General features: G+C 39.0%; 1 protein-coding gene across 9 annotated transcripts in view; it reads left to right on the top strand.

Moving 5' to 3' along the window:
- The window catches only part of DST (dystonin), a 496,835-nt gene that overhangs the window by 116,084 nt on the left and 365,328 nt on the right, over nt 1-15,423 (top strand). The gene's annotated exons all lie outside the window — the stretch shown is intronic.

Here is a 15,423-nt window from a genome sequence, read left to right as displayed (position 1 = left end):
ATAAGGAGTGTATATGAGTTCAGAAATGTGGGAAATTATTAGGTATTGTTAGTGAATTTAATTTTAAACTTCTACTGATGCTCTTTTCAGTTTCTTTTGTTCTTAGAGAGTTATCTCAACATTTATTTAGCCCAGAGACTTTAAAAAGAAGGCTTATGCTTTTTAAAACTTCTAGGTTTTTTTTTTGTTGTTGTTTGTTTGTTTTGTATTTGAACAATTTGGAGATGCTTGTTTTCTGGCTCAATAACTTTTTAGGTAATCAGTGTAAGGACAGGTGGTGAAAACAATTTATTGTCTTACTGCTATCTTGTAGTCTGACAAAGAAGTGCTTGTATTTCTGCCGTTGGGTCATATGTGCCTCAGGATCCTGGCTCTGTGGGGAGCTGGAATATTTGACCAAAGCATCTTCATGCAATTGGAGATTATGAAAATATCTGAAGCTATAGAGGTGATAACAAGATGGAATATCTAGGCTGTCATGTTCATTTCTGTTTTAGTTCCACAACTGAGTATAAAAGTGCACAAGAACACACCCAAATCATGTGACCTGGTGGACTAATTGGGAAGAAAAGATGATTTGTAGTTTCGAATGTTTGTTATTTCATATTAACTAAACACAGATGCTTCTGTTTCATGGAAGTCTCTCTATAATGGCTTTGAATAAAAAACAGGAAAGACTTCTGTGTCCATTTCTTAGCTCTTAATATTTCAGGGATTACATTCTACCTATGTCCAAGGAGGAATTTCAGGTAATTATTTGCTGAAGTATGTCATTGTTTCAGTAAGTGATCAAATGAGACCCCTTCTTATTCATTTTTTTTTTCTGCTTGTCCTTTAATGCAATTTTGTTTGCTTTTGTTTTCTGACTTGCTTCATCTCTCCCAAAAGAAGAAGCAAATAATTCTGCTTAGGCTGGGGAAAAGCTTTGTATTTGGGGTCAAATGGGATTTCACCCTGTGAGAAGGTGAAAAGTACCAGGGAGGAAAACTCCAAGAGGAGAAACTAGCATGACTGTTCCATTTCATTGACATAATTGCCAAAATCATTTTGATCGTTGGCTGAAGTGCACCGCAGGTTTCAGGGAAAGGATTGGTTAGAATTTGTAGGAAGATGGATATGGATGAATGATGGAGGGTTATGCTGTACCAGATTGAAAGCAATCTTGAGTGCCTATTCTTTAGGCAGTGAGGGTGACCCTTTATGATCCCCAGCAGGAAGTTAGATAGATATTAGAAAGAGCACTCTGGCAGCAGCGCGGAGGACTGAGTGGAAGGGAAGACTCAGGCAGGGAAACAGGTTAGGTGGGTACTGTAAAATTATAGTGGTTGGAATGGAAGGCTGATTCAAGAGAAATTTCAGAAATTGTCAGGATGGCCGATTAGTTGGTTCTGCATGTGGGGACAGGAGGCGGGTGCAGCAACTTTTGTTGTTGAAGTTATGTCCAAAAAAGTTTGAAATGTTTCCTTTTTAAGTTTTTAAAAAACTTGTAGTATGTATTTATTAGAAAAGGTGTTTTTAAAACATTTTTATTATTAATCACAGTTAGACCTTTCTTGGTAGTTAAATGGAACGAAAGCTATTTTGCTTGACCTTGGAAATACAGCAAGTAGTGTGCCCTAGAAAACTGGAATGCTCTATTTAATGTAGAGCGCTTTAAGTAATACCTTATCAGTCTGTTTGTTGTGAATCCTCTGAGCATGATTAGTAGCATCTTAGAGCAGTGGATCTATTTTCCATAAGCAAATAAAATAATTGAATTCATATCCTTTTAAAAGGTAAATATATATGGTGAAAAAACTTTCAATATATTTCAATAATTTTTAATATTTGTTTTTATTTCAAAAATCTTAATTTTTTCTTTGTTTATTTTCTTTTTTTCTTTCTTTTTTTTTTTTTGAGATGGAGTCTCTCTCTGTGGCCCAGGCGGGAGTGCAGTGGCGCAATCTTGGCTCACTGCAAGCTCCGCCTCCCGGGTTCACGCCATTCTCCTGCCTCAGCCTCCCGAGTAGCTGGGACTACAGGCGCCCGCCATCACGCCCGGCTAATTTTTTTGTATTTTTAGTAGAGACGGGGTTTCACCGTGTTAGCCAGGATGGTCTCGATCTCCTGACCTCGTGATCCGCCCGCCTCGGCCTCCCAAAGTGCTGGGATTACAAGCGTGAGCCACCGCGCCCGGCCCCTTTGTTTATTTTCTACATAAACTTCAGCAAATATGTAGAGTTAGTTTGGTTTGGTGTATAAAAAGTTAAGTGGTTTTATGTTCATTTAAGTTCTCGGCTACCCTACAATTTGAGCATTAAGCCTTAAATTTTAATTTAAAATTGCAAAACAGTAACTACCATTTATATGTCAACCTACTCATATGCCTGGCATGATGCTGGGTATTGCATATGAAATACATATATGTTATGTATATATGTAAGTTTAAAGAGTCGCATAGCTATAGTGGTAGAAATGGCATTTGAACATCAAATGTATATTTGGCCTAAACTATATATTTTTAGTGTCATTATATTGACTGGGAGATACTGCAGAAATAGTTATGAAAATATATTTATTAAGATTCTGATTTTGATTAATACTACAACTTTCTCAGATATGTTAAATGCATGAAATTAAAGTTAATAGTTTATACATTTATAGATATTACTTTTATTCAAATATTAGATTTTGGAAGTCAAACTGTTGTGTCTTAGTTGTATTATCAATTCTAATGATTAGTTATAAAAAGACAATAAAATTTTAACATGAGCATTTCCAGTGTGTATTTGGGTCGAGAAGATTTTGAAAAGAACTGTTTTTGTAAATGTTACCAATGAATGTGACTGCTTTGATACATGCCTGAAATGTTTCCTGGAAAGAATTGTCAAAGAGCGTTGACAAAGTCTTGATTTTACTCTAGTGGGTGAAAATATTTCCCAGTGAACCCTGGTATTAAAGATATTATACAAACATACTATTGTTCTAGTGCCCCTGTATTCAGTGCTATGGTTTTCCATGCTGGGCATGCCAGTGTAATGATGTATTTTCTTGATTTTGGTGTGAAATACTACTACTTGTCTAGTGAGGTAGATAGACACTGGGTTAATAAAGGCGGGATAAAATAGGGCATATGGAATATTCTGAGCAGTAGAGATTATGTAGGTAGTCAATGAATTAGGTAGATCTAAGAACTCAAGTACTGTGGCTCTTCCTACACCAGTAGTCTTTTAAAAAATGCACACATTATTTTTTAGAGCAGTTTTAGGTTTATAGCAAAATTGAGCAGAAACTACATAGTTCCCATATACTCCCTCTTCCTCCCCCATAGTTTCTCATATTTATATCGGTACTGGTGTGGTACATTTGTTGGAATTGATGAACCAATATTGATAAATTGATTCATCAATTACGTAGTTGATTACAAGATTAATAGTTTACATTAGGGTTTCCTTTGTTGTACAGTTCTATATAGGTTTTGACAAATGCATAATATCATGTGTCTATTATTGTAATATCATACAGAAGAGTTTCACTGCTCCCAAATCCTCTGTGTTTGACCTATTTGTTCCTCTCCAGCTCCAGAACCCCTGACAACCACTGATCGTTTTGCTCTCTCTATATTTTATGTTTTTACAGAATGTCATATAGTTGGAATCCTGCAGTATATAGACTTTTCTGACTAGCTTCTTTTACTTAGCAATATGCATTTAAAGTTCCTCCATGTCTTTTCATAGCTTGATAGCTCATCTCTTTTTATTGCTAAGTTCATTGTCTGGAAGTACCAAGTTTACTTATCCATTCACCGACTGAAGGACATCTTGGTTGCTCCTAAGGGTTGACAGTTATGAATACAACTGCTCTAAACAGTTGAGTGCAGATTTTTGTGTGGACATGTTTTCAAGTCATTTGTGTAAAGGAGTATGATTGCTAGATTGTATGGTACGTTTAGCTTTGTGAGAAACTTGTCTAACTTGACTTCCAAAGTGGGTGTACTGTTTTTCATTTCCACCAGCAATGAATGAGAGTTCCTGTTGCTACACATCCTATCAGCATTTGGTATTGTCACTGTTTTGTATTTTAGCCTTTCAGATAGGTGCGTGGTGGTATTTCATTGTTTTAATTTGCAGTTCCCTAAATGACATATCATGTAAATATCTTTTTTTTTTTGGAGTTGGAGTCTCGCACTGTCACTCAGGCTGGAGTGCAGAGGCACGATCTTGGCTCACTGCAACCTCTGCCTCCTGGGTTTAAGTGATTCCCCTGCCTCAGCCTCCTGAGTAGCTGGGATTACAGGCATCCGCCACCACGCCTGGCTAATTTTTGTATTTTTAGTAGAGATGGAGTTTCACCATATTGGTTAGGCTGGTTTCAAACTCCTGACCTTGTGATCTGCCCGCCTTGGCCTCCCAAAGTGCTGGGATTACAGGCATGAGCCACCGCACCTGGCTGGTATCTTTTTATATGCTTGTCATCTGTGTATTTCCTTTCGTGAGGTGTCTGTTCAGATCTTTTGCCCGCTTTTTAAGCATTTTTTATTTTGAGACATGGTCTCACTCTGTCACCCAGACTGGATGCAGTGATAAAATCATAACTCACTGTAACCATGAACTTGTGTCTCAGCAGCTCCTCCTGCCTCAGCCTCCCAAGTATCTGGGACTACAGGCATGTGCCACCATGTTGGGCTAATATTTTTATGTTATATAGAGACAGGGTCTTGCTATGTTGCCCAGGCTGGTCTTGAATTCCTGGGCTCTAGTGATCCTCCTGCCTTGGCTTTCTAAAGTGCTGGGATTTACAGGTATGAGCCATCATGTCTGGCCCTTTTGCCCACTTTAAATTTTTTTTTTTTTATTGTTGAGTTTTGGAGTTTTTTGTATATTTTGGATACCAGTCCTTTATCAGATATGTTTTGCAAATGATCAGTAACCTTTTTATACCATTACCTCCTTTTGACACCTTTGAGCCACTGCATATTATAGCTATTATTTAAATAAATAAGGACCTGATTATTTCCTTTTATATGGTCATAGCATTCTTAAGTACTATTTTGTTTTAGCTATGTGTGTTATTTATTGTATCTGCTTCATAGAGTTGTATGTGGTGACTCTGAGTTCAGCAATCTGACAGTTTGCTTTGGTGTATCTAATATGCTGTTGTAGCTGCAATTCAGGTATCCAGTTGGTTGGCAGCTATGATGCTTTATAACACTTGAGTCTAAAATTAGTCGAACTGTTCTATTTTAAGCATACACTGAAATTAGTAGTCCATGTCCTGTAAAACATGTGAAAGTTAAAAACTCTTAGGATATTGAATTACTTCTTTTAAAATGTAATCAGAAGTAGAGTTGGAAAGTTTGTAAGTAAGAAAGTAGTTAGTGAGAAAGTTTTGTTATGGTAATTTGATTATGGCCTGGATGTAGTGCTATATGTATACAGTATCCACAAACACAGTTTCACACTGTTGCCTCTTAGAGTTAAGACAGTGCTTTCACGTAAATGATTACATGTGATTTTAAAAACATGAGTTGAGTTACAGCAAGATTATTTGCTTTTTTTCTGTTAACATATTTTAGAAGAGTCGTAGTTCCTAAATGTTTAGAATTCTGGAACACTATTGACTGCCTTTGCTAGAAAAAAGAGAGTGATTAAAGGAGTACTTGGTTGTTCGTCTTGCGATCTTGTGATAACCTTATTTGTGTAACAGAAACTAGATAATGTTGAAAATAAGTCAGGGCATGGTAGCTCATGCCTGTAATCTCAGCACTTTGGAAGGCCAAGGCAGGTGGATCTCCTGAGGTCAGTAGTTCGAGACCAGCCTGGCCAACATGTGAAACCCCATCTTTACTAAAAATACAAAAATTAGCTGGATGTGGTGGTGGACACCTGTAATCCCAGCTACTCAGGAGGCTGCGGCAGGAGAATCACTTGAACCTGGGAGGCCGAGGTTGCAGTGAGCTGAGATCATGCCATTGCACTCCAGCCTGGGCGATAAGAGCAAAACTCTGTCTCAAAAACAAAAAAAGAATATTGAAAATACTTAGTAGATAAAAAGCGGAGTGATTCAAATTAAGAGTTTGATTTTGCATATAATATGAATTTTATACCTCTTGAAGCAATAGTTTGTGCTATAGAGGCATTTTTTTTTTTTTGCAGTGTTATTTGACTATCTCTGCATTAGTCTGTTTTCATACTGCTGATAAAGACATACCAGAGACTGGGCAATTTACAAAATAAAGAGGTTGGACTTACAGTTCCTACAGTTCCACATGGCTGGGGAAGCCTCACAATCATGGTGGAAGGCAAGGAAGGGCAAGGAGGGGCAAGTCACGTCTTACATGGATGGCAGCAGACAAAGAGAAAGAACTTGTGCAGGGGAACTCCTGTTTTTAAAACCATCAGAATCTCGTGAGACTTACTAGAACTAGTAAGTTCTAGTTACTAGTACTCACAAGAACAACATGGAAAAGACTTGCCCCCATGATTCGATTACCTCCCACTGGGTCCCTCCCACAACACCTGGAAATTCAGGATGGGATTTGGCCAAAATATGTCAGTGTCCTTTAAACAATCTCAGAAGCTCTAACAATTTAACTACTATAGATAATGTGTAGTCTTTATACTTTTTCTTTGAACCTTTTTGGAAGGTCTAAAGCAGGACTGAAGGATTCTAAATTACAGAAAGCAAGATGCAAGGATGCTTTAGTTTTCTTGTGGAAAAAGACCTGTACTTATATATCCCTTTCCATTTAGAAAACTATATAGAAATTTAAATTTGTGCTTCAGTAGAAGTAAAATACTGTAAATGGAATGAAATACTTTTATAATTAGCATTTTTTGAAAGCATTCAAGCAGCATTGTTCCCAACCTTTCTCATATTTCTAGTCAGAAATTAATTGATCATATGCTTCAAGTGAACACATTACCATCTAGTATATTCTCTATTCCCTCATACCCATCGTATTTTGTACTCAGTCTTTCCCTGGAAAAACTGGGAAGAGATGAAGGATTTAGAACCGGGAGAAGCAGATCTTCACCAGTTTGGAACATGTGGTTTAATTCCAAATACTTATTGATCCTATACATTAAAATATGCTAAGGAATCAGGGCCTACAGAAGGAAGAGGAACACAGGTTTGTAGCCTCTCAAAGAGCAGAGTTTGGTGACGAAAGTGGACCAGCTACACTCATTATATGTGAGTGCTACACAAGAGGAGTGATACGAGCATCCAGGGGTTTCACAAGCAGGGCTGGCATTTGAAGGAAGGCAGAATTTCAGTGGGAGCTGGGGAAGGGAGAGGCTTTGTGTTATGTGTGGGTGGATGGTGCAGACAGAGATTTTTCTTGGTTTTACCATGTCATTTGGACAATCTGACCTTGCATTTCACCTTTTGCATTCTAGGAAAAGTATTATCACAAAATTGAATTACTACTTTAATATAAACAAGATAGATTTTGCTTATACATAACCGGTGTTGAGTTGAAGATTTTATCCTCCATTTTTAAGAACTCTGCTTTATCATACATATGTTATGAAACCTGAGGGTTTAGTACTGAGAAATAAGTTTTAGCCATGGCTCAGCAAATGTAAAGATTGGATGTGACACTCTTAATATGGTGTAGGAAACTCTCAATTAGATTGATGATCATAATAATTTTAGCACTTTATACTTTTTTTTACATATATGATACAATTTGATTCTTATAACAATTCTCTGAGATGGGTAACATAAGTGCCAGTGCCCTTATTTTATAGGCAAGGAAATCAGGCTTCCATGATTGCATTGACTAGGTGGTGGACTGGGGCTAGAATTCTGGTCTTCTGATAGCCAGTCTAGAGAACACCATACTGTAGGTAATTGTGGCTCATCCTTATATGCAGTCAAAGTTATCATTAATAATGTGGACTATAGGTAATATATGTGGTGAGAAGTAATAGTCTCTGTTTAAGTAAACAGCAGTTGAATATTGCTGTTGTTCTGGAATTACAGTCCATAGTTAGGAAGAAGTATGGCTTACCTTTTGTTTAATGTGGTTTTGGGCTACCACGTCCATAAACTTTGGTGAAAAGTTCTGTTGCTGACTGTAGAGGATTTAGTTACTTGAGGGAAAAACTCCATTATTATCTCTTGCTTTCGTTGTTAATTGAAGTGGCTCTTAAAATTAGAGGGTTGTACATTTAGACAGAAAAACTATCCTGTTGACTAAAGATGTAATTTCTGTAGTACTCAGTGACAAAGGAGGAACCATGTAAGTACTTGGGGAAAATATGGAAAGAAAACTTATGACATATACTTGGTAACATTTTTGGAAAATAAAGAAGTGGACAAAAGTAGACAAAATGAGTAAAAATCTGTAATTCAATTACCTATATACGTTAATTTTATGACATATGTCCTTTTCCATTTCTTTTTTCTCCATAATATATAACATTTAAAAATTGGGACTACTGCGTGTACAGTTCCATATCCTGCAGATGCACTTAATATATCACAGCATTTTTTAATGCCATGAAATATCATTTCAAACCATTTTCATGACAATGCACAATGTGTGGTAAACAGTCTGATGAAACATTTAAGCAGTTTTGTATCCTGACAGTTTTTGGTTAATATTATTACATTGGTATTTTTCCATGTAATTACAAGCTTCAGAAACACAGTTTTTCAAGATAAGAAAGAAGTCATATGGGTGACATAAACCAATTAGCAATTAAATATTTATAAGATAGTGCCTAGTTCATGATTAAGTAGATTCTTGAGTTATATATCCAATTAAGAAATTCTAATCACTATGAATTTTAGAAATTCAACAATAAAGGAAGCAACTACTAGTACTGAGGAGACCTGATTTTCATTCCTAACTCATGCTAAGTAGCTAGTTTTGGATGGCTTATACATGAAAATGAATGATTGCCAAGGTTCTTTATCATCCTGTTATACCTGCCTTAATTAATTACTTCATTATTTATTTATTTCTTGAGTGTTTCTTGTGTGCCAGCAACTATTTTAGATTCTTGGGGTGCTAGACATAAAAAAATTAATGGTCTTTTATATTTTTAAAAAGAGTTTTGAATGTATCACTTCATACTGATATGATCTGGTTACTTTTGACATCATTTTCTGACATACTTTCCATTGTTTATGGCATACATCTCATTTATTATTTTGGAAATGATCACCACATTCATGGTTTTAATTTTTTGTAGAAACTACTATTGATTCCATTTGAAAACCCTTTTAAAATGCCTTCCAGCCTTTTGATATAGTTTGCAATCATTTATTGCATTTGTATTTCATTACTTGTGCTAGGCTTCAAGACTGTATTATTTATTAATGGTATTCAATCAAGGAGTACTTTGGGGCATTAGATTTATCTGTAACATTGCCAAGTCAAACTTTGGAAGAAACTCACACTTTTAAAAGTGTTTTTACTCTCATTACATGTATTAATGATATGTAAACTTTAAGTGTGTGCAAATGGCCTCTTTTGAGAAGTTTTAAAGTTACCTATTTTGTCACTATGTGTTGTTCTTGCATGTCTAGGTCAGTATTTCTTTTGTGTTTGGCTAAGTGATCACCATATACATGCAGTTTTCAGGAAAGGCCTAAATGTTGTCCCCTCCAAGGCTCCTTTTTCCATTTCCAGTTAATGGAAGATTTTTTTCATAGTACTTTTAATTCCACTTTAGCAGTGAACTTGAACAAGCTATTTCTGGTTGGCCATTTCTTTCTCCAAGATTTTTAAACCAGTGTTCTGAGTCTTGGGGGAACTACAGCTTCAAGACTAGGGACTGTGGTCTTCAGCTTTGAAGTGGCTTCATTCTGGGGGATTAGTGAAGCTTTCTAGATTTGTTTTTCCCTTCTCTTATTCTACCCTTCCCCTCCTCCCCATTAACAGAACTATAGGATAATATAGGGTACAGAACTATAGAACTACTCTTGGGTAGTTCTGTTTGTAACCCTGATTCTGCTCTCCCACCTGCCCAGCCTTTGAGAATTACCATTGCCTGTAGGGAAAAGATGTAAACATTGAGTATGCTGATTTTCACTTATTTCATTTTATCCTCAAGAAAACTAAAGTCCAGAAAAGGAGGGTCAGTAAAGGAAAAAGCAAGCTCTAAACTAAGGTCTCCTGATTATTAGTTCTTCACATTGCTCAGTCTCCTTTGTTTCTTACTGGTGTATAGAAGCTGCTTTCACTGGCTATATCCAAGTTAATGAAAAGTAAGGGCAAGAATCTAGAAGAAATGAGTGGAAAAAGTGAAGCAATAGCAAAGACAGAAGTAGTGATATCAGTGTTATTCTTTACATGCAATAAGAGGAATGCTGAGGTTTCAGTGTTACCATTGATGTTTCTGTATTTTAGGGCCTTGCATTATGTTGGTGATAGTACATTGCATGCAGCAGGCTATCAGTGTTCTGGGGCTTTAAGAAATATATTCAGACTAATATAAATCGGCATTATAACATGGAACTAAAATATTTCCCACCTTGAAGAGTTGGATGAAAATTTGGCTGCTGCTCTTGGATTAGTGTGTTGCTCTCTGGCTGTTTCCTAGTTAACTATAAGATCCAGGCTCCGGGGAGGCAGATCTAGGCCACTGACCACCTCAGCCATCACCCCTCCCCATGGCCTGCATTTTGAGAGTATGCTGGATCTGGATCCTTCCCATGTGCTCTGGATCAGGAGTGAATAAAGGAGAATGTGATGCTACATGCATCAGTTCTAACACAGCTAGAGAGTAGGAGCATCAGTGGAAGGCATGAAAGGTTTGATTTGATCTCACCTCAAATGGGCATATGGTGGGTCTCTGTGTATGTGTGTGGGGGTGGGGTACAAAGAAGGAAAAGTACAGTGAAAAAGGGAAAGGGAATGTATCTCCTGCTGTTTCTGAGAGTTTGGGAGACAGAAGCTTTTAGATGAATGGTAGCCCAACTCCGTTTCTTATCATTTGGGTCTCCACACATATATTTTACATTCCCCCCAACTCTTCCGCCCCTGCTTAGTTCTATTTCTTCTGGCTGTCCTGGTGTCCTCAGTTCCCTCTATGCTAACAGCAGGTAAATGCATGGTTGGGAAGGATGTGATTTGGAAAGTGTGATTCTAATATAAACATGCCTACAGTTTATTAAATATACTTTTTATAGCTCCACCGTTCTATATTCAATTTTTATTCTAGATTGACTACAAAATGTCAATATATGTTTTACATTGATAATATTGTTGCTATTGTTTTACCTTTTTTTTTTTTTTTTTTTTTGAGACGGAGTCTCACTCTGTTGCCCAGGCTGGAGTGCAGTGGCACGATCTCAGGTGACTGCAACCTCCGCCTTCTGGGTTCAAGTGATTCTCAGCTTCCTGAGTAGCTGGGATTGCAGGCACACACCACCACGCCTGGCTTATTTTTGTATTTTTAGTAGAGACGGGGTTTCACCATGTTGGTCAGGCTGGTCTCAAACTCTTGACCTGGTGATCCACCCGCCTCGGCCTCCCAAAGTGCTGGGATTACAGGCGAGAGCCACCGCGCCCGGCCCTGTTTTACCATTTTTTAAATTAAAAATGTAGTTGTACATTAGCCTGGATGACCTAACCTTTACTTAAACAGCATTTTTAAGAGAAAATGTGTTATAAGTTGGTCGTTTGGAACTGACAAGTGAATTTCTATAGCACAGGCCATTAGTTAATCGGAGATACATTTTTGACAGTGGGCAAGCCTAAGAGAGATTTAAAGGATTTTTTAAAAAACTAGGAGTAGTTTTTTTAAAGTTAGAAACTACTTTTCTTGTTACAGTCTTCTAAAAGCACTTATTATAACATCCAGCACTGGCAAGAACATGGGGAAACAGTGCTCTCGTGCACTGCTTTTGAGAATGTGACTTGTTACTGTCTTTGGAGAAAGGATGCTGCTGAAGACACATCTACTCCTTGACCCAGCAGTATTTCAGAATCTTTCCTGTGGGTAGAATTTAAGTGCAAAGATATTTATCGTGACATTGTTTGTAATAGCAGAATACTGGAAACATCCTGAATGACCAGGAATAGGGAATAGTTGAATAAATTTTGATATTCAAATGTTAAGCAACTAATAAGTAATATGAATTAAATCTCTAAATATTGACTTCTAATATCTCTGCCATGTAGTTTAAAGGAAAATTAAAAGGCACATGATTATGTGTTTGGCTTTCTTGTAAAAAAAGAAAAAAATTCTATATGCAAACAGAGAGAGCTATGAAAATAGAGAAACCAAACTTAAGAGTGGTTAGCTCTCAAGAACAAGTTTTCTTTTCATCTCTGAATTTGACATTTTAAAACATATTTATTACTTCTATAATAAATATAAATACCACCACAAATAAAGTAGAAAGTTTAAAATAATAAAATTATTAAATATTTTCATGCATATAAAATATTGCCAGTTTTTGAGAAAAGCTTCTTCCATGTGATTCTGACAGGTATAATTTATAAGCAACATTGTGGGTATTAAGTGACATTGACTTAATAGACCATCTGGTACTTTCATAAACAATTTATAGACTTATTGTTTGTGTGGTCATTTATGGCTGAGGTGGGCCATTATGGCCCTAGCTATTATTTTCAGTGTCTGATTTGATCATACACTTGCAGGCTGTCTTTCTAGGCAAAGTACAGTGGGATGAGAAGACACTGCCTTGCATAATTCAGACATGTGTAATATTGGTCCCTAAGAAGGGCCATCCTAAGCCAAAGGATCCGTTTGTTTTGTTTCTTATCTAACTTTACTTTTTTCATTCATTTATTTAATAAATTATATATAGTGTTATTGAGTGCCATGACATATACAAAGATGAAAAAAGATGATGTTGCTTTCCTTTAGGAGATCTCAGTCTGTTGGGGAAAACCAGCATGGTTTGTCACAGGACAATTAAGGTGCTGTATATGCAGTACAAATGAAGTACTCTAAGAGCCACTTTCTTAAACCCTTTACCTGGTGAGCCCAGTGTGTTCTGTACCCATTATCTTGTTTCACAGTTTTAATTATCTGACAGTAGGGATCAAGAAGTTTTAGTCCTATATAGTACAACTTCTTTTTCTGCGAATTGTAATAGAAATTAACCCCACAGTTGTCAGGAAATACCTGATACTAAGAGATGATATGGAAATAGTAGGGAGATTAGAGAAAAGCAAGTTGCATATTTGTTTATAAAAACAGAAGATAGAATACTTTTGATATTTGCAAAAGCAAGTTAGAAAACTACAGAAATTTTTTTTTTTTTTTTTTTTTTTTAGTATTTATTGATCATTCTTGGGTGTTTCCCAGAGAGGGGGATTTGGCAGGGTCATAGGACAATAGTGGAGGGAAGGTCAGCAGATAAACAAGTGAACAAAGGTCTCTGGTTTTCCTAGGCAGAGGACCCTGCGGCCTTCTGCAGTGTTTGTGTCCCTGGGTACTTGAGATTAGGGAGTGGTGATGACTCTTAACGAGCATGCTGCCTTCAAGCATCTGTTTAACAAAGCACATCTTGCACCGCCCTTAATCCATTTAACCCTGAGTGGACACAGCACATGTTTCAGAGAGCACAGGGTTGGGGGTAAGGTCACAGATCAACAGGATCCCAAGGCAGAAGAATTTTTCTTAGTACAGAACAAAATGAAAAGTCTCCCATGTCTACTTCTTTCTACACAGACACGGCAACCATCCGATTTCTCAATCTTTTCCCCACCTTTCCGCCCTTTCTATTCCACAAAACCGCCATTGTCATCATGGCCCGTTCTCAATGAGCTGTTGGGTACACCTCCCAGACCAGGTGGTGGCCGGGCAGAGGGGCTCCTCACTTCCCAGTAGGGGCGGCCGGGCAGAGGCACCCCTCACCTCCCGGACGGGGCGGCTGGCCGGGCGGGGGGCTGACCCCCCCACCTCCCTCCCGGACGGGGTGGCTGCGGGGCGGAGACGCTCCTCACTTCTCAGACGGGGCGGCTGCCGGACGGAGGGGCTCCTCACTTCTCAGACGGGGCAGCTGCCGGGCGGAGGGACTCCTCACTTCTCAGACGGGGTGGTTGCCAGGCAGAGGGTCTCCTCACTTCTCAGATGGGGCGGCTGGGCACAGACGCTCCTCACCTCCCAGACGGGGTCGCGGCCGGTCAGAGGCGCTCCTCACATCCCAGACGGGGCAGCGGGGCAGAGGCGCTTCCCACATCTCAGACGATGGGCGGCCGGGCAGAGACGCTCCTCATTTCCTAGATGGGATGGTGGCCGGGCAGAGACGCTCCTCACTTTCCAGACTGGGCAGCCAGGGAGAGGGTCTCCTCACATCCCAGACGATGGGCAGCCAGGCAGAGACGCTCCTCACTTCCCAGACGGGGTGGCAGCCGGGCAGAGGCTGCAATCTCGGCTCTTTGGGAGGCCAAGGCAGGCGGCTGGGAGGTGGTTGTAGCGAGCCGAGATCACGCCACTGCATTCCAGCCTGGGTACCATTGAGCACTGAGTGAACGAGACTCCGTCTGCAATCCCGGCACCTCGAGAGGCCGAGGCTGGCGGATCACTCGCGGTTAGGAGCTGGAGACCAGCCCGGCCAACAAAGCGAAACCCTGTCTCCACCAAAAAAATACGAAAACCAGTCAGGCGTGGCGGCGCGCGCCTGCAATCGCAGGCACTCGGCAGGCTGAGGCAGGAGAATCAGGCAGGGAGGTTGCAGTGAGCCGAGATGGCAGCAGTACAGTCCAGCTTCGACTCGGCATCAGAGGGAGACCGTGGAAAGAGAGGGAGAGGGAGACCGTGGGGAGAGGCAGAGGCAGAGGCAGAGGATATTTTTTATGTAAGTCTTTTTAATACTTCTGCTGCTTATCATGGTGCTTGGCATATTGTAAATACTCAATAATTATTTTTTCTAAAAAGGTTGAATGAATTTCTACTGCAGGTTTTGGGCTTTTAAGATTTTCTGAATTCAGTTTCTTAACCAAGCTAACTCTAGATAATAGTTCCAGTCAAGTACACTACCTTCACTAATTTTCTCCCAGCAATTTAAAAACTGCCAAGCAGATGAAGTTTGAAGTAAGTTTTGTAATTTTCAAGAATTATACAGGCCAGGTGTGGTGGCTCACCCCTGTAATCCCAGCACTTTGGAAGGCCGAGGTGGGCGGATCACAAGGTCAAGAGATCGAGACCATCCTGGCCAACATGTTGAAACCCCGTCTCTAATAAAAATACAAAAATGAGCTGGGTGTGGTGGCGTGCACCTGTAGTCCCAGCTACTAGGGAGGCTGAGGCAGGAGAATTGCTTGAATCCGGGAGGCGGAGATTGCAGTGAGCTGAGATTGCGGCACTGCACTCCAGCCTGCCAATAGAGCGAGACTCTGTCTCAAAAAAAACAAAAAAAAATTATACACATTTCCTTATTTCATGCTACATAATTTCTTTACGTGGAAGATAGGCAAAATGAACTGTTGCCATAGTGAAGGACAAAATT

This window comes from Homo sapiens, chromosome 6 (assembly GCF_000001405.40).
Source record: "Homo sapiens chromosome 6, GRCh38.p14 Primary Assembly".
In the NCBI taxonomy this organism is placed as follows: Eukaryota; Metazoa; Chordata; class Mammalia; order Primates; family Hominidae; genus Homo; species Homo sapiens.
This window is presented reverse-complemented; position numbering and strand designations above follow the sequence as displayed.